This window comes from Homo sapiens, chromosome 17 (genome assembly GCF_000001405.40).
Source record: "Homo sapiens chromosome 17, GRCh38.p14 Primary Assembly".
In the NCBI taxonomy this organism is placed as follows: Eukaryota; Metazoa; Chordata; class Mammalia; order Primates; family Hominidae; genus Homo; species Homo sapiens.
The window spans coordinates 64,883,188-64,902,989 of record NC_000017.11 but is presented as its reverse complement, the minus strand read 5'-3'; the positions used below and the strand labels follow the sequence as shown (position 1 = coordinate 64,902,989).

The 19,802-nt window shown below is 42.8% G+C and overlaps 1 protein-coding gene and 1 long non-coding RNA gene across 4 annotated transcripts in view; one reads left to right on the top strand and one right to left on the bottom strand.

Moving 5' to 3' along the window:
* The window catches only part of LOC105376844 (uncharacterized), a 59,955-nt gene that overhangs the window by 6,776 nt on the left and 33,377 nt on the right, over positions 1-19,802 (bottom strand). The window contains exon 2 of one of the 2 annotated variants that reach the window (XR_934912.4): positions 10,122-10,261. This is a non-coding gene — a long non-coding RNA (uncharacterized LOC105376844). Of the gene's footprint in view, positions 1-10,121; positions 10,719-19,802 lie in introns of those variants that run through there. The other variant, XR_001752972.3, reaches the window with a different exon arrangement.
* LRRC37A3 (leucine rich repeat containing 37 member A3) overlaps positions 1-19,802 on the top strand; it is a 65,349-nt gene that overhangs the window by 16,489 nt on the left and 29,058 nt on the right. Inside the window, exons 3-8 of one of the 2 annotated variants that reach the window (NM_199340.5) lie at positions 4,531-4,628; positions 5,336-8,341; positions 10,390-10,461; positions 13,238-13,309; positions 16,104-16,175; positions 16,824-16,904. In NM_199340.5, coding sequence (NP_955372.2) covers positions 5,733-8,341; positions 10,390-10,461; positions 13,238-13,309; positions 16,104-16,175; positions 16,824-16,904 — 2,906 coding nt within the window. In that variant the 5' untranslated portion in view covers positions 4,531-4,628; positions 5,336-5,732. The remainder of the gene's footprint in view (positions 1-4,530; positions 4,629-5,335; positions 8,342-10,389; positions 10,462-13,237; positions 13,310-16,103; positions 16,176-16,823; positions 16,905-19,802) is intronic. The other variant, NM_001303255.3, reaches the window with a different exon arrangement.

Sequence of the window (19,802 nt, the reverse complement as noted above, 5' to 3'; positions counted from 1 at the left end):
AAATCTCTGGGTGATGTGAGATATGTGCCAGGTTCTTGGCTTGTGTCTCCCTCTAGTACTTTAGGAACTTCCCAACTAGATGGAGGCAGTAAAAATGGGCCCTGCCAGGATGTACCTATAACAGAGACGTTCAACCATACCCTTGTGCTGTCTGCCTTTAATCACGAAGATTATGAGCTAAGATTCGTGGATGCATTTTTATTTTTTAACCAACATGTAGCAATGATCACTCAGATAGGCATCTTAAATCCATTAGTTTGGGTTGGATTTAAGACCGTTGTCATTCCTATGAAAGGGAAGATAGCCCAGATTGCTATTGAGAAGGCTTTGTCAGATGCATTCCAGAAACTGTTGATTGTGGTTCTAGGTAAAACTTTCTTAATCGTCGTTGAAGTACTTCAGTTTCAGTGAGCAAATAAACTCATTTTGAAAAGTTAATTGGATAAAAATATCGATATCTAAAACACTCCCTAGGATGCTTTCATTTGCTAAGTTCTTTCACAGCGACAGGCTCAAATTTGTTCTTTGTGACATTTGTAGAAAAAATGACAGCAAATATTGTCCCTAGTTTATAGCTATAAAAGGACTTGCCTCAGGTCACACAGAAAATGTTTGAGGCAGGTCTTCTTTAATTGCATGCCTATCGTACAGAATAGTGATTATAAGCCCTGGACACATGGATTTGAGTCCTAACTCTGTCTCTTAGATTTTTGTATGCAGTTTTAGGTCTTATGGCCAGAGAGATTTGAAGATATTTAATATCTCTAAGCTGCAATCTTTATCTGCAAACTGGGGTTAGTAATCCAATCAACCTTATTGCGGATATTGTAAGAAAAAATGAGATGACAAGTGTAAAAACTCAGAACTATACTTACAAGGTAAGCAGACAAAATATGCTATTGTTGTGATTGTTTTCTCTCTGAATAAATAAACTCTGCTGAAGAATTTATTAGATTATGTTTCTCGAATCGAGAATTCAGTTCCAGCTCTCATTTCTGGCACTGACATATTGGCCAAATATGATTCTTATACAATAATCAGCTGCTTTGCTGTGAGCCTTGGAAGTGGTCATGCTGTTGAATGGCACTGCTTGTATTTCCTATTCAGTTCTACAGTGGCACAAATGTCATAGCCTGTGCCCAAAGGAAACCTGGTGTTTAACGAGTCCCTGAACAGAGTTGCCTTTCTGCTTCACAACCCTGAAGGCTTAGAGACTGAGATTGTAATTAAGTTACTACAGACCTTTATTTGCTTGTAAGAGGTGGCCCTGATTGCTCTCAGCTTTCCAACCTGGGCAGCCATTCTAGTGAAAGTCTTACTTCCTTGGTCATCAACTGTCAAGTCTGAGTAATGACATTTAATAACCAAGCTAAATGTGTGGGTTGTCTACCCCTCCCTAGTATGCAAAGGTATCCCTTGCACACACTCACTTCTTAGACCAAAAGCCTTATAGTTCTAGTTTGCCTTGAAGGAAATTGTATTGTCTATAGAGTATGTGGGCCATTTTCTGCCCGTAAAATGTTCAAATGTTTTCTCTCTCTAAAGCTTTGTTCATTGTATCTGGTGGAATTTTGGTTCTCAGGGAGTAGACACCTAGCCATGCTTCTAATGTGAAGTGTCTACTAGCCCAGTGGTCTCTATTTTGGATTTGAACTTACTTCGACCCCCCACCTGGTGCCTTACCTTTTAATCATATTATGATTGAACGTTTTTATTTCCACATTTTTTATTTCTTATGTTATTATTCCTTAGTTCCTATCTGTAAGATCATAAAGTCCTTTGAACCAAACACAGTTGATATTTCATACATATGTTAAAAACTGAGCTGTGAGACCAGACATGATGACTCACGCTTGAAATCTCAGCATTTCGGGAGGCCAAGACAGAAGGATCACTTCAAGCCAGGAGTTCGAGACCAGCCTGGAAAACAAAGCGGGACCATGTCTCTAAAAAAGAGAATTAGATGGGCACAGTGATATAGTGCCTGCTACTCTGGAGGCTGAAGCAGGAGGATGACTTGAGCCCAGGAATTCCAGGCTACAGTGAGCTATGATAGTGCCACTGTACTCCAGCCTGGGTGACAGAGTGAGACCCTGTCTAAAAGAAAAAAGAAAAACAAAAATCGAAGTGTATGATGAAGAGATGAGGAAACTTTCAGGAAAATGCTTATTTCCTGCTTTTAGAAACTAAAAGAATGTCTCATTGTGGGTTGCTACCATTATATGCAGGAAGTTTTGGAATGAAAAAGATTCTGAATTCATCCTTGCTAACTTTATTTCAGAAAGTGGTAAAATAGCTATGGAGTACAGACCCAGTGAAGAGATTGTAGATGTCAGATGGGAAGAAGAACTACACGGTTTAATATAAGTATGTGGAGATAAAAACTCAAAGGTAACAGGGCCGGGCACAGTGGCTCACACCTGTAATGCCAGTGCTTTGGGAGGCTGAGGCGGGTGGATCACCTGAGGTCAGGAGTTCAAGATCAGACTGACCAACATGGAGAAATGGTGGCACATGCCTGTAATCCCAGCTACTCGGGAGGCTGAGGCAGGAGAATCGCTTGGACCCGGGAAGCGGAGGTTCCGGTAAGCCAAGATCACACCATTGCACTCCAGCCTGGGCAACAAGAGTGAAACTCTATCTCAAAAAACAAACAGGCCAGGCGCTGTGGCTCACACCTGTAATCCCAGCACTTTGGGAGGCCGAGGTGGGTGGATCATGAGGTCAGGAGTTCAAGACCAGCCTGGCCAATATGGTGAAACCCTGTCTCTACTAAAAATACAAAAATTGGCTGGGTGTGGTGGTGGGCACCTGTAATCCCAGCTACTTGGGAAACTGAGGCATGAAAACCACTTGAACCCAGGAGGCGGAGGTTGCAGTGAGCCGAGATCATGCCACTGCATTCCAGCCTGGGTGACAGAGCAAGACACTCTCTCGAGGAAAAAAAAAAAAAGAAAAGAAAAACAACTCAAGGGTTGGATAACATTGCCAGTATAACCATAATTCAAAACAAGCAGCAGAATTTGGAGGATAATTTGTTTAATTCTCAGGAAAATGTGAAACTCTGAAACTGCTTTTTGAGTGCAGGGTATTTCCGGGGCTTTTCCTAAAGTCTTGACCCTTGGCTCTGACCCCTTATTTGAAGTTTGGAGAGCAGAACCGAGGATTGTGTTACTACAGTTGTGGACACAGGAGAGGGGTTAGTCTCCCCCCGCTCCAGGAGTAAGGGATGCTGGGCTGCTCGAACACAGGCCTTGTTAGAACTCCCTTCAAACAGGATCCCAGAGATGTGGGGAGAAGGTAACTGGCCTTAAGAATGATTGCGCTACAGCTTTTGAAAACTATAATGCCTTTCAAATATGGCTTATTGCTTGGATCTCAATATCTCCCACGTATCTTGGGTGGAATATTTTGCTGAAGATCTTTCTGTCAATCATTTACAATCATGTGCTGCAAAATGAAGTTTGCGTCAACAGTAGACCACATATATGATGGTGGTTCCGTAAGCGTATAATGGAGCTATCCCTATATAGGTATACCATTTTTATCTTTTTTTTTTTTTTTTTTTTTGAGATGGAGTCTCACTCTGTTGTCCAGGCTGGAGTGCAGTGGTATGATCCCAGCTCATTGCAACCTCCACCTCCCAGGTTCAAGTGATTCTCCTACCTCAGCCTCCTGAGTAGCTGGGATTATAGACACGCGTCACCACACTCAGCTAATTTTTGTATTTTTAGTAGAGATGGGGTTTCATCATGTTGGCCAGGCTGGTCTTGAACTCCTGAGCTCAAGTGATCCACCCACCTTGGCGTCCCAAAGTGCTGGGATTACAGGCATGAGCCACTGTGCCCAGGCCCCATTTTTATCTTTTACACAGTATTTTAACTATATATTTTCCATGTTTACATACACAAATACCTGCCATTCTGTGACAGTTGCCTTTAGTATTCAGTACAGTAACATACAGTACAGGTTTGTAGCCTAGGAGTCCTAAGCCATACCGTGTACCCTAGGTATGGTGGCTACACCACCTAGGTTTGTGTAAGTATACGCTATGATATTAGCACAATGGTGAAATAACCTAGTGACCCATTTCTCAAGCTCCTCACGTGGCAAGCAATGCATGACTGCATATGAAAGCTCTTAAATAGGGATTGTTTCTAAATTAATCTCAAAACAGTCATTATTTACTATTTATGGAATTTTTTTTAAAAAAAGGAGCAAAAGTATCATTTCAGTGGGAACTTAACTTGGGGCTACAGTGTTTTATTTAACTTTTACCCCAAAGTTGCAAAGTGTTTTGAAATTTTTCCCTGTAAAATAATTATTTTAATTCAATTTAAATAAAACCCACCAAGGAGACTTCAAGCTTTAAGAAGTCTAGCTTCCTGTGAAATGTGAGAGGAAGTCAGCACTCATTTCAGAAATCTGATTATAATAATAGCTCCATCCCTAAATGAGGTGAATCTTGGAATCTCTTCCATTTTATTTTATTTTATTTTTTTGAGATGGAGTTTCTCTCTTGTTGCCCAGGCTGAAGTGCAATGTTGTGATCTCGGCTCACTGCAACCTCTGCCTCCCAGGTTCAAGCGATTCTCCTGCTTTGGCCTCCTGAGTAGCTGGGATTGCAGGTATGCACCACCACACCTGGCTAATTTTGTATTTTTAGTAGAGACGGAGTTTCACCATGTTGGTCAGGCTGGTCTCGAACTTCTGACCTCAGTGATCCCCCCACCTCGGCCTCCCAAAGTTCTGGGATTATGGGTGTGAGCCACCACACCCGGCCCCCCTTCAATTTTAAAGCCATCACTATGCACCCTATGTCTATGCCAGGCACTAAAATAAGATGAAGCACCTTCTTGGAGTTTACATGCTGGTAATTATGCCAGACAGTAATAAAATAGGTAAGAACGGCTGTGGGGGAAGTCAGCTGGGTTCTAGTTACAGTCGCATTTCAGGAAATGATTTAACATGCTGACTTTAACAACCTAAGCCTCTTCTCCATGTGTGCACACAGGGTAGATCTCTGAACACAGGTGACCCTAGAAGTGCTGTAACTTCTAGGGGAATGGCTGTGTTGAGTCAAGGCAGGATGACAGTTCAGCCTCCTCCCAGGCTAGTGCAAAGGGCTCTTCACTCGGATTAAAACCTTCTCTCCCAGACCGAATTGCCAACTCCCAACACCCCTCCTACAGAAAATTTGGAGTCCTCGCTTATTCCCTGGCAGCCCCTACCTAATAGGGTGGTGAATTAATTATCAAACATGCGACAGTTTAGCGAAAATGGCAACACTTTGGAATAAATGACTGTAATGTGCATCCTGGCGCCCATTTTGCAGGTCAGTTGCTCTCCCTGGAAGGAAGAGTGTTCTCGGATTTCACCTTAAAGGAGGAAGGCTGCCAGAACTGAACTAGCACTTCTGAATATCCTGAGGCGAGGTCCGGTGACTTCCTTGGGAAGCTCTGCCGCGCCCCCATCCCACCCTACCCCACCCTACCCCACCACAGCAGGCGCTGGAGTCCTGGGACCACCAGGATCTGAGGCCCAAATCCTTCCTCACTAAGGGGAGGAGAGGGGTGCTCCGGCAGGGCAGGATGGGAAGGCGTGCTTGGGCGGGATTGTGACATAAGAGTGCCCTGGTGACATGGAGCAGATCTGTGGCATAAATAAAGGTGTCATAAAGACAGGGCGGGACTCATGCTTACAAGGGGCACGAGCGTCTCGGAGCTGCCAGAATGACTTCCGCTCAGTGCCCGGCACTAGCGTGTGTCATGTCCCCGCTGCGTTTCTGGGGCCCATGGCCCCTCCTTATGTGGCAACTATTGTGGCTACTAGTCAAGGAGGCTCAGCCTCTGGAGTGGGTCAAGGACCCGCTCCAGCTGACCTCTAACCCCCTGGGGCCGCCTGAGCCCTGGTCTTCCCACTCCTCCCATTTCCCACGGGAATCTCCCCATGCGCCTACTCTCCCAGCAGACCCGTGGGACTTTGATCACCTGGGGCCCTCTGCTTCCTCAGAGATGCCAGCCCCACCCCAGGAATCGACTGAAAATTTGGTTCCATTCCTGGACACCTGGGATTCAGCTGGAGAGCTGCCCCTGGAGCCAGAGCAGTTCTTGGCTTCACAGCAGGATTTAAAGGACAAGCTGAGTCCACAGGAAAGGCTCCCTGTTTCGCCCAAGAAGCTGAAGAAAGATCCAGCTCAGCGTTGGAGCCTTGCTGAGATTATTGGAATTATACACCAATTATCCACACCTCAGAGTCAGAAACAGACTTTGCAGAATGAATATTCCAGTACAGATACACCGTATCCCGGTAGCCTGCCTCCAGAACTCCGGGTGAAGTCAGATGAGCCTCCAGGGCCCTCTGAGCAAGTTGGACCTTCTCAATTCCATCTAGAGCCCGAAACTCAAAATCCAGAGACCCTTGAAGACATCCAGTCCTCTTCACTCCAGCAAGAAGCCCCAGCACAGCTTCCACAGCTCCTTGAGGAAGAACCTTCTTCAATGCAGCAGGAGGCCCCAGCTCTGCCTCCAGAGTCCTCTATGGAGAGTCTAACTCTACCGAATCATGAGGTGTCAGTTCAACCTCCAGGTGAGGATCAAGCTTATTATCACTTGCCCAACATTACAGTTAAACCTGCAGATGTGGAGGTTACCATAACTTCAGAGCCTACCAATGAGACAGAATCTTCCCAAGCCCAGCAGGAGACCCCAATTCAGTTTCCAGAGGAGGTGGAACCTTCTGCAACCCAACAGGAGGCCCCAATTGAGCCTCCAGTTCCTCCTATGGAGCATGAACTTTCCATCAGTGAGCAGCAGCAGCCAGTTCAGCCTTCTGAGTCTTCTAGGGAGGTCGAATCTTCTCCGACCCAGCAGGAGACCCCAGGTCAGCCTCCAGAACATCATGAAGTCACAGTTTCACCTCCAGGTCACCATCAAACTCATCATTTAGCTTCACCCAGTGTCTCTGTGAAGCCTCCAGACGTGCAGCTCACCATAGCAGCAGAGCCTAGTGCAGAGGTGGGAACTTCTCTAGTCCACCAGGAGGCTACAACTCGGCTCTCAGGGTCAGGTAATGATGTAGAACCTCCCGCCATCCAGCACGGGGGCCCACCTCTGCTTCCAGAGTCATCAGAAGAAGCTGGACCTTTAGCAGTTCAACAGGAGACTTCATTTCAATCTCCGGAACCTATTAATAATGAGAACCCCTCTCCAACCCAGCAGGAGGCTGCAGCTGAGCATCCACAGACCGCTGAGGAGGGTGAGTCTTCCCTAACCCATCAGGAGGCCCCAGCTCAGACTCCAGAGTTCCCTAATGTAGTTGTAGCTCAACCTCCAGAGCATTCACACCTGACTCAAGCCACAGTTCAACCTTTGGATCTGGGGTTTACCATCACTCCAGAATCCATGACAGAGGTTGAACTTTCTCCAACCATGAAGGAGACCCCAACTCAGCCTCCTAAGAAAGTTGTACCCCAACTTCGAGTATATCAAGGGGTAACAAATCCAACACCAGGTCAGGATCAAGCTCAGCATCCAGTGTCACCCAGCGTTACAGTTCAACTTTTGGACCTGGGACTTACCATCACTCCAGAACCCACTACGGAGGTTGGACATTCTACACCCCCGAAGAGGACTATAGTTTCTCCAAAGCATCCTGAGGTGACACTTCCACATCCAGACCAGGTTCAGACTCAGCATTCACACCTGACTCGAGCCACAGTTCAACCTTTGGACCTGGGGTTTACCATCACTCCAAAATCCATGACAGAGGTTGAACCTTCTACAGCCCTGATGACTACAGCTCCTCCTCCAGGACACCCTGAGGTGACACTTCCACCTTCAGACAAGGGTCAGGCTCAGCATTCACACCTGACTCAAGCCACCGTTCAACCTCTGGACCTGGAGCTTACCATAACTACAAAACCTACTACAGAGGTTAAACCATCTCCAACCACGGAGGAGACCTCAACTCAGCTTCCAGACCTGGGACTTGCCATCATTCCAGAACCCACTACAGAGACTGGACATTCTACAGCCCTGGAGAAGACTACAGCTCCTCGTCCAGACCGGGTTCAGACTCTGCATCGAAGCCTGACTGAAGTCACAGGTCCACCTACTGAACTAGAACCTGCTCAGGATTCACTGGTGCAGTCTGAAAGTTACACCCAAAATAAGGCTTTAACTGCACCAGAGGAACACAAGGCCTCCACAAGCACCAACATATGTGAGCTCTGTACCTGCGGAGATGAGATGTTGTCATGTATTGATCTCAACCCAGAGCAGAGGCTCCGCCAAGTGCCTGTGCCAGAGCCCAACACCCACAATGGCACCTTCACCATCTTGTAAGAATCACTTTTCCTCAATTGTCCTCTGTGTCCTGCCTGACATGGCAGCCTTTTCCTGGAGGCCTTCCTGGGCCTTCTTTATCTCCCCAAGCCATATGGACAACTGACTTTCTGCTTTCACCTTTGCTTGTCAACTCTCCCTTCTCCTCATTCTCTTTTAATGTTAGGCCCCTTCTCCAGTCTTTTCCTTTTACTCTGGTCTTTTACTCGTTTTTGTATCCATTTTTATTTAGCCCCATCACATCATTGCTTAACCGCTGCTCTCCTCCCATTTTCGCTTCACCCTCTTTACAGCAGCCTGTCCCTCTCCCGATCTCAGTGATGATGCTCTAAGTGGTTAAGAGTTGATTCCGGAGCCAGGCTGCCTGGGTTTGAACCCAGATCTATTTATTAGCTTGGTGACCCAGAGCAAGTTATTCTGCCTGTGACTCAATTTCCTCACCTTTAAACTGGGGATCATGCTAGTTAGCATTTCATAGGATTGTTGTGAAATTTAGGTGAGTGAATATATGAAACACTTCATCAGTGCTTAGCATATGTAGGAGAGTTGGCTGTTCACATGATTATTCAGTCCTTTAGTTTTGTCCAGAACTCATTTTTGTCCCTAGCTTTCTATATGTAGAACTAGTTTTATGTCAAACCCAGGGCCAAGTATGCTACTGTCTCCAGAACACAAAAATGATAGGAGGGAAGAGGCTGGGTGTGGTGGCTCACGCCTGTAATCCCAGCACTTTGGGAGGCCGAGGCGGGCGGATCACGAGGTCAGGAGATCAAGACCATCCTGGCTAACATGGTGAAACCCCATCTCTACTAAAAATACAGAAAAAAATTAGCCAGGCATGGTGGTGGGTGCCTGGAGTCCCAGCTACTTGGGAGGCTGAGGCAGGAGAATGGCGTGAACCTGGGAGGCAGAGCTTGCAGTGAGCCGAGATTGCACCACTGCACTCCAGCCTGGGCGACAGAGCAAGACTCCATCTCAAAAAAAAAAAAAAAAAAATGATAGGAGGGAAGAAAGAGAATAGGCATAAAAAGGGAGGTATATATAATTAAGTACTAAAAGATAATGCAGACCATTGGTGCTAGAATTTGCCAGAATCTGTGATCCTTGAGGTGTGGAGATGCTACATGGGTAAGCTAAAACTTTACTTGGGTCTTAAAGAGTAGCCATAATTTGTTAAATAGGAGAAAAATGGGAGTACAGTCTAGGCAAACGCATGGCTACAGGTATGGTTGGAATTTAGTAGACCAATGTGGCTACAAAGAATTAGGTGAGGGAGCAATGAAGATACGATTCTGTAAAACCTTGATTATCAGCTATAGGAGTTTGAAAGTTACACAATGAGGTATGGAAAGCCATTGAAAGTTTCCAAGCAAGAGAGATTACATGATCAAAACAGGAAGATTATTTTATTTTGTTTTTTGCATTATGTGCAAGTGTAGACATGCAGAGGATTGTTTTAGAATCCATATGTAAAGTGTCCAAAAGGAAAAGCTTAATTCAGGGAGACAAAATAGAAAGGTCTAGCAAAATCTAGGAGTGAGGTGTGAAGGGGCCAAATCAGATCAGTTGTAATAGGAGTGGAAAGAAAAAGCCTAGGATGTTTCAACAGAGGGCACTGGGCCAAAGCTTTGGTGTTACCTGGCATAGGGTTTCTTTCTTCTCATTTGTTGATAATGATAAGCTTTTGCCCATATTTCTGTGGAATTATTTACCATTTTGGTACTGATTTGTAGAAGTCTGTTTAGACACATAAGTGCTTTTAGATAAAATACTTACATTCAAAGTAATTAACTGGCATCATCTGTCCAAGAGATGGGATGGATAAGAAGTTAAGCTTCCAGGAGATGCCTCATCATTTGTGCCAGTGACCCCGCATAATTTCTTGATGAATTGTGCAAACTGGGAAGCTGATAGCTCTGGAAATGAGAAAGCAGGTGTTATTTTCTGTTTCTGAATATCCCCAACAAGGTTGCAATGATTCTTTTACTTATCGTGTTCATTGTTTTCCTACCTATTCAAGGATATAAACTGTGTTTCTTCACAGAAATTTCCAAGGAAACTATATTTCTTACATTGATGGAAATGTATGGAAAGCATACAGTTGGACCGAGAAACTGTGAGTATATTCTCTCCAAATATGACAAAAAGCTAACTGCATTGTAAGATCCTTCTTGGTCCAGAATTTTGAGGTCGGTACCTCTGAGGAAAGATATTTCTCCTCCACGCCCCAAATCAACCACTGTTGATTGCAATTGTATGGTTATTTTAAAATTAAATTTGGTAGGCTCTCTTTAAAATAAGAGGCAATTTAAATTTATTTTTTATCATACAAATAGTACATGGTTATATTCCTTTTTGTTCTCTTTTTTTTTTTTTTTTTTTTTTTTTCAGAGACAGGGTCTTACTTTGTCCTCTGGGCTGCAGTGCAGTGGCACAATCACAGCTCACTGCAGCCTTCACCTCCCAGGCCCAAGTGATCCTCTCACCTCAGCCTCCCCAGTAGCTGGGACCACAGGTGCATGCCACCACACCCACCTAATTTTGTATTTTTTGTAGAGACAGGGTCTTCCTATGCTGCTTAGGCTGGTCTTGAACTCCTGGGCTCAAGTGATCCTCCCACCTTGGCCTCTTAAAGTGTTCATATTACAGGCATGAGCCACCACCCGCAGCCCATGATTCCATTTTTAATATATAAAAATGCAATAACAGATATAACAAAAACTCTCCTTGTGCCCTACTCCCTCATCCCTGAAGTAATGCTACTCTGCATTTAGTATACATGCTTCCAGACTTTTCCTCATTTACCTACATACATATTTACATAAAGCAAAATAGATTTGTTTTGTGGTTTTAAAATTTTTTCTTCGCATAAAGGGTAACATCTTGCAACTTGATTCTTTCACTTCATGATATGCCTTAGATTTCTTTGCTTCCCAGTACTGAGAGGGTCACCCCATTCATTTAAACTCCTGCATAATCCATAGTATGGATGCATCATGGTTTATTTAATAATTCCCCCATTGATGAATGTTTAGATTATGCTTAGTTTTCTTGTTACATGCATTGCTGCAATGAAATCCCTGTACATGCTTCTTTGTGAACATGTGCAAGTATTCCTGTAGCATAGATATCTGGAAATGGAATTCTTGGGGTGAAGACTATGTAGATATAAAATTTTAGTTGCCTTCAAAAATTTTGTGCCAACTTACTCTATTGTCAGCAGAATATGACAGCATTCATTTCCCAACACCTTTTCACCGCTGGGTATTCTCCAACTTTTTGCTGAAGTTATGGATGAATAAAAGGGATTCCATCTAAATGTGAATTTTTCTGATTACTCATGAATTTAATTTAGTATCTTTATATGTTTATTGAACATTTGTGTTTCTTCTCTGAGTTTTCTGGCCTTTGTTCATTTTCCTGTTGAATTGTTTTATCATTTTCTTACTGATTTATAGAAGGAATTGGTTTAGACACATAAGTGATTTTGGAAAAAATGCTTACATTCAAAGTAACTGACATTTTTCACAACAGTTTGTGTGTCACATCATTATTTCAATGTATATAGACAAGCCACGATGAGTTCTAAATTAAAAATAAACATATGCTAGGCGCGGTGGCTCACGCCTTTAATCCCAGCACCTTGGGAGGTAGGCGGATCACCTGAGGTCAGGAGTTTGAGACCAGCCTGGCCGATAGGGCGAAACCCCATCTCTACTAAAAATACAAAAAGTAGCCAGGCGTGGTGGTGGGTGCCTGTAATCCCATCTACTTGGGAAGCTGAGGCAGGAGAATTGCTTTATTTATTTTTTCAGATGGAATTTTGTTCTTGTTGCCCAGGCTGGAGTGCAATGGTGCGATCTTGGCTCACTGCAACCTCCACCTCCCGGGTTCAAGGGATTCTCCTGCCTCAGCCTCCCGCGTAGCTGGAATTACAGGTGCCCTCCATCACACCCAGCTAATTTTTATATTTTTAGTAGAGACAGGGTTTCACCATGTTGGCCAGGCTGGTCTCAAACTCATGACCGTGGGTGATTCACCCACCTTGGCTTTCCAGAGTGCTGGGATTACAGGCATGAGCCACCACGCCAGGCCAGAACTACATTTTAAAAACAAGAAAATTATTACAAAGGTCAGGATAGTGGTTACCTATTAGGGTTAGAGAGAGGGATATGATTGGAAAGGGGCACACTGGGGCTTCTGGCATGCTAGCAATGATCTTTTGTAACGATGTTTACATGGGTATCTGCTTCATAATTATTAAACTGAATATTTTGGCCAGGTGAGGTGGCTCATGTCTGCAGTCACAGCACTTTGGGAAGCAGACACAGGAGGATCACTTGAGCCAGGAGTTTGAGACCAGTCTGGGAACAGAGTGAGACCCTGTCTCAAAAATTAAATTAAATTAAATAAACAACATTTATGTTATGTGCACTTTATGCACATTATAGTTCTCCAATTTTTTTGATGGGGGGAAAAAGGTTGAATGGCTTCACTTGCAGCCCTGACATGGTTCCATGTGGGGCTTTCATAATAAGGTTTGGGAAAAGAGAGGAGGAAATGGAGGTTCTGCTGATCTTGGTGCCACCCAGAGTTGGATTCTAAAAGGGATTTTGTGATCTAGAGAGGAGGCATGAAATAATAGAATTTGGTGGGAAGAAACCCACTCTTCAAGGGGTGTGCTTGAGTGTGTGTGTGTGTGTTTGTGGTGGTGGTGGAGAGAGATGGACACAAAAAGGAAAATATAAGAAAAGGTTTGAATGAAAGCAGAGCAGATCCCACCATCTTGAAGTGACCATGACCCAGCTTTCCTCCACATGCAGGAGATGGTTCTGTGTAGCAAATAGTTGTAGTTTGCATTTTAATCTAGAAATAACTTCTTCATTTTCCAGAATTCTCAGAGAAAATAACTTGACTGAATTACACAAGGATTCATTTGAAGGCCTGCTATCCCTCCAGTATTTGTAAGTTAGTTAATTATATTTATGAGTTTTTAGTCATATTATCTGTAAAATGAATAAGGGGTTCAAATTAGATAATCTCTCAGATTTCTTTGAGCAATAAAATTCTGCAATTCTGTAAGTTTGTATAGGGTCTCAGCCCATCTCTAGCACTAGCTACCTCCTGTGCATTTTCAGTTTTTAAGTTGTATAGACAAAATACAGACAAAAACATTTCACATGGTAAGAAAATCTGAGCAGTGACTGACACCCATATGAACCTTGTTTTATAAGGGTTCACATATCATTCTTTTTCTATTCAGTCTACAACCAATAGATCCAATCTAATTTATGGTCTATTTTTAAATAGCCCATTAAGTTAAGAATGGGTTTTGCATTTTTAAAGGGACTGTGAAAGAAAAAGAAAAGAAACAAAGAAATATGCGAGAGATCATATGTGGCCCATAAAACCTAAAATATTTACTGTCTGACCTTCACCAAAAAAAATTTCAAAAAGTTGGTTTAGTAGGATGAAAGGAACTAAAGTTAACTTCAGATGGTTGCCTAAAGGAGAAGAAAATGGAGACCACCTGCATTCATTTGAACATCATTAATCCAGAATTTTTTGGTAATTTAATCGGAATTAAATTAACATTTAAATATTAAAAATAGCTGAATTATATCAATAATATTATAAAGAATATTAAGCTACCAAGAGAATAGACTGGTATTAAGGATTTCATTTCAGGAATTGTTATATTAAAACAGATGTTTAAAATGATGGTTAACTGGTAGAGCTAGAAATGTTTACACTAAGAAGCACATCAGAAATGCCCCTAACTCTTCACTAATTACAAAATAACGATCGCCCCAGCCCTGTTACCAGAAAGGGATCCCTGTATTTCTGTCTGTTTAGAGACAAGAAGATACTATGTTCATTGCTATGAAAGCTTGATTCTTACCCTTTGTCCATAGAGGTCTGTATGTCATTAATCCTTATTAAGCTCATTAGTGATGCTCTTTTGCAAACAGATTCTTTCAAATATAGAAGGCTTAAGGAAAGTGGGTGTAAAGACCCTCAGGTGGATGCCAAAGTGCTACAGAGACCATGAAATAATAAAACTACATTTCCTTTAAAATAGTTATTTTCCTTCTACTCACTCCCCCAGCTATTCATTTATTTTACAAATATTTGAGTTTGCTTTATTTCCATGTGTCAGTTTTAAACATGGTGGGCAATGCAGATGAGCAAGACCTAGTCCATGCTTTCAGGGAGTTTATGCTCAGAAGAAATGGGATAAAAAATAACTACATTAAGAAGAAGAAACGGATGTGGGCACTAGGAGGGATAAATTGTTTCTCGAACATAGAAGAGGAAAAAATGCCTTCAATTTGGACCCAGGAGGATGTTACTAGAACAATGCCATTTGAATAGGACTTTAAAGGGCCATTGTGTAACACCAGACAGACATCTTGGGGAAAATACTCTAAACTTGCAAAAGGAAAATGGGAGGGCAAAACACAGGAAAGTATTCAAGGAATGCCATGAGTACCCGTAGAGTACAAGAAGGGAGAGTAGGAAAATGGAGCCAGATCTTCTAGAGCTTTGAATGCCAAGCTGAGGAGCCAACATGGGGAACCGTGTTACCACAGCAGCGCTGTAAGGTAGATCTGCATCACAGTCATTGAGAGGGCACGTTAGAACTCAGTTCTGGACTCCACCCTCGTAGTTACTGATTCAGTTGGTCTAGAGTGGGACCAAGAATTTGCATCTTCAGTAATTTCCCAGGAGATGCTGGTCTTTGCAAGCCACTTCTGGAGAGTTTATATGATGACTGTGTGCAGGATAGTTTAGGTAGGGAGAGACTAGAGATGGAGACATCAGCCAGACAACGTTACACCATCCAGGTAAAGAGGGAGGGACAAACTCCATCACTGTATAACTGAAGAAATTTTTTTTTATGAAATATTAAAGCAATACAAAACCAAAAATGAATTTCTATTAATATGATAGAAATTAATTCTATTAATATGATTTGAATTAGTTCAAAGTTATGTATTAGGTAAAGGGGTAGCTTCCTTTCAAATGATGTGAAAGGATGTCTTTTATTTCTTCTGATATTGAAGTGGCTTAGGAAAACAGACCTAAACTAAGAAGGTGTAGAAATGTGAGACTTGTTTGTTTGTTTGTTTGTTTGAGACGGAATCTCGCTCTGTCGCCCAGGCTGGAGTGCAGTGGTGCAATCTTGGCTCACTGCAAGGTCCGCCTCCTGGGTTCATGCCATTCTCCTGCCTCAGCCTCCTGAGCAGCTAGGACTACAGGCACGTGCCACTAGGCCCGGCTAATTTTTTATTTTTTTTGTAGAGACAGGGTTTCACCGTGTTAGCCAGGATGGTCTCGATATCCTGACCTCAGGATCTGCCAGCCTCGGCCTCCGAAAGTGCTGGATTACAGGCCTGAGCCACCGCACCCGGCCCGACTATTTTTTTTAATATTAGAAATTGTGTATATAGAGATAAAATCTTTGAGCTCATAATCTAAGATTTGATGACACTACAAAAGGGCATCTAATCAAGTCTACTGCTCTCAGGAAAAATTAATTCCAAAGTCTATTATGTTGTATATTTATTAAAACCATGAAGGTGAGACTCTAGGAGAGGTATGGGCAGGGTTAGGGGCTCTGGAATGTTCAAATACAAGTCCAAACGTTTAGAGTTGAGATGAAAAACAGGTATTCAGTATTATTCTAAACTCTTGCTGTTATTCATACCAATTGACATTTAATAACTAATCAAGGCAATATTTTCGTTTTCCTAGAGATTTATCCTGCAATAAAATACAGTCTATTGAAAGACATACATTTGAACCACTACCATTTTTGAAGTTTATGTAAGTTACAAATATAACTTGATTACATTTGGAATTTTTATAAAACTTAATTATAAACCTTTTTGCTATTCTTGAAATATGATTAAAATTTTACCAGTAGAAAGCTACTAAAATTATACAGCAAATCCTTTTTGTCTCTAGCAAGGATTATTGTGAGAATTATTACACAGATCTTAGTGAATCATCAGAGAGCAGTGGTTCTCAGGTGGTGTGATTTTGCACTCAGGTGGCATTTGGTAATGTCCGGAGACAGTTTTGGTTGACAAAACTGTGAGTGTGCTCCTGGCATCTGGTGGGCAAAGGCCAGAGATGCTGCTAAACATCCTTCAAGGTATAAGACAAACCCCCATGGCAAAGAGTTATATAGTCCAAAATGTTGATGGCACTGAAGTTGTGAAATCCTGTTCTAGAGAAATAAAGATCACTTAACACAGGTATTTACTGAGCATTCACTGTTTTGTATCTAATGCACCACATGTGCAGTGTTAAAGTATAAATCATAAGCCAGTATCTTCCACAGTCAGATTTCCTTAGTGCATAGAGAAAGGATTGAGGTTATGTTCCATCCTATATAAATTAGAATCATGGCAAATGATAAATGTTCTGAAATAATTTTTTTTTTCTTTGGCTTGTGTCTTTTTTTTTTAGAAATCTTAGTTGCAATGTAATTACAGAACTCAGCTTTGGAACATTTCAGGCCTGGCACGGAATGCAGTTTTTACATAAGTTGTAAGTGAAATAGAAGATGAATACATGTAAACAACTATTTATGTACAAAAACTCATACAATTATTGGGTAGCTGGGTATAAGCCCATTATCAACTCTGAAAAGCATGTCTTAAGATCCATTCATTTTTCTCAAATGGGGAAGCTAAGGTACAAAGAGGCCAAGAGACTTACGTAGCTTATATATGACCTCCTCTGCTTGTCCTAGTTCTGACCTATAGCATGGGCAAGAAAAGGCATCAAAGAAGTGACCCTCAAATTAGCCTTGTTGCTGGGCGGGGTGGCTCAGACCTGTAATCCCAGAACTTTGGGAGCCGAGGTGGGTGGATCACCCGAGGTCAGGAATTCAACACCAGCCTGGCCAACATAGTGAAACCCTGTCCCTACTATAAATACAAAAAAAAAATCTGGGCGTGGTGGTGCAGTTTTTTGCTCCCTGGAGGACTTTGTGTTAAGCTTCCTTCCTTGCAGCTAAATGTTGCAGACATTTAAGCAGTTAGAAACTCTGCATATGAGCAGGAATCAAATCCAAAGTTGTAGGGCCAGAATGGTGGCTCATGCCTGTAATCCCAGCACCTTGGGAGGCCAAGGTGGGAGGATCACTGGAGGTCAGGAGTTTGAGACCAGCCTGGCCAACATGGCAAAACCTCATCTCTACTAAAAATACAAAAATTAGCAGGTCATGGTGGCGGGCACCTGTGATCCTAGCTATCGGGAGGCTGAGGCACGAGAATGGCTTGAACCCGGGAGGGGGAAGTTGCAGTGAGCCGAGATTGTGCCACTACCCTCCAACCTCCCCTCCAGGCTGGTCTCGAACTCCTGTGACCTCAGGTGATCCGCCCACCTCAGCCTCCCAAAGTGCTGGGGTTACAGGTGTGAGCCACCATGCCTGGCCAAGATGGTGTTTATGTTAAGCTATTGTGCAAAAAAAAACTTTTGTAAAGAAAATATATCGCTGTATCTTAATTCCATATACTTTCCTGACTACTCTTCTACCATAATTGCAAAAATTCTATGATTTCTCTGTATAACATACCCATCAAATCAGAGTGGGTATATTCAGTGGCCTGAAGGGGACTCAAGGTGAAGATTCTCCTCTACATCTGACTTTAGAAAAGACGTTCCACCTGCCTTGTGGTTCAGAAATCTAGTTTCACACAGTTCATTTCAAGTTAGAGGGAGGCATTCAGGATGTGTCTGGACTAGAGCAGCAGTTTCTGCACATGCTCCCCTCTGTCCTCATTAATTTGCTGATGCATAACTTAGGAAAAGTACACTAAAGGTCTGTTTTTCTTTTGCCCTCACACCAGAGAACAGGCTCATTAGGTCCCTCCACCAAGAGGTTTAGGTAGCATCAATACAAATGTTTTAAACTCACCATCTTTACTAAGCACTTTATACAACTGGGAGTCCCTCATAAAAATCTGGTGGCCGGGAGCGGTGGCTCATGCCTGTAATTCCAGCACTTTGCTGAGGTGGGTGGATCACCTGAGGTCAGGAGTTCAAGACCAGCCTGACCAACATGGTGAAACCTGTCTCTACTAAAAACACAAAAATTAGCTGGGCATGGTGGCAGGCAACTGTAATCCTAGGTACTCAGGAGGCTGAGGCAGGAGAATCACTTGAAACCAGGAGACGGAGGTTGCAGTGAGCCGAGATGGCACCATTGCACTCCAGCCTGAGGGACAGAGTGAGACTCTGTCTCAAATAATAATAATAATATAATAATAATAATAATAATCATCATCGTCATCATCTAGCCAGCTTCACTACAATTATGTAGGCAACACCAGGAAAACACTGGAATCACAGTTGATAAAAATTAATGAATTCACTCAAAAACATTCAGAGTGTCATGTCCATTTGTGCCAGGTACTGTACTAAGTGCTGGGGCTACAAAATCCATCTCAAAGACACACCAAGATGAGGACTTTGTCCCCAGGGGACTTTCATTCCTCAAGGAGGAAGCGGATGCTGATGGGAAAACATATGAGAGCCATGTGGGGATCTGTACGGCAGGGTGACAAGGAGAGGACAAAGCAGGAATGGGGGCTGGGTTAAGAAAGACTTGAGAGACACTAACTTGCTTATCTTGAGTTTCTGTGTTCATCTTAAACAACAGAAAAAGGCATTTGCTTCATGGTGATGAAAAAATCAGAGCTAGCTGATATTGGAAACTAGCACTCATTTCATATAAACAGAATAGAGCTGTACCCTTCAAACTAAGTCACAGTTACTTTCAAAGATTGGCACAAGGGTCTCAACACACCAAGTGTATGTTAGGGGCTGGGCTCTTTTGGAGTCAAATCTTCCTGGTAAACAAAGCTACACTGCAGTCATATTTGGCATATGTGACATATAGGCCCACTGCATTTCCTTCCAAAGGCAAGATGCCAAGGGAAGGTGCCAGTAATTTTATGACCAATATGACACCATTTTGTGGTGTTTGTAAGTTGAAACAATATATTTCCCTGCATTACACAAGTTTATAAAAAACAAACAAAAAAAGAGGCCCCAGCTGTGGTTGATCGATGATGAATAGAGCCTAACCTTCCAGGCTTCTCACTTGCACAGGCCCTTCCAAGGTCCTGGGAGGGCCCCTGGAAATTTTTGTAGTCATAATTTTTTTAATGTTTTTACTAGATAAGGCTCAGGCCCCACAAAATCCTGAAATCATCCCTGGGTTCCAATAGTTACAACCCAGTAAATCTCTTGAATGAAGCCTCTATGTTATTGACAAATACTGACTGGCCAAGTTAGCAGGGTGATAGGGTCTGTCTATTTTGAATCTGAAATCCATCTCAAAGACAGGCCAAGAGCTTATTAGTGGACTTAACTGGATTCTGCTGGCCCAAGCACAGTAAAGTCAAACAACCATATCGAGGTTTTGCATTGGGGAAA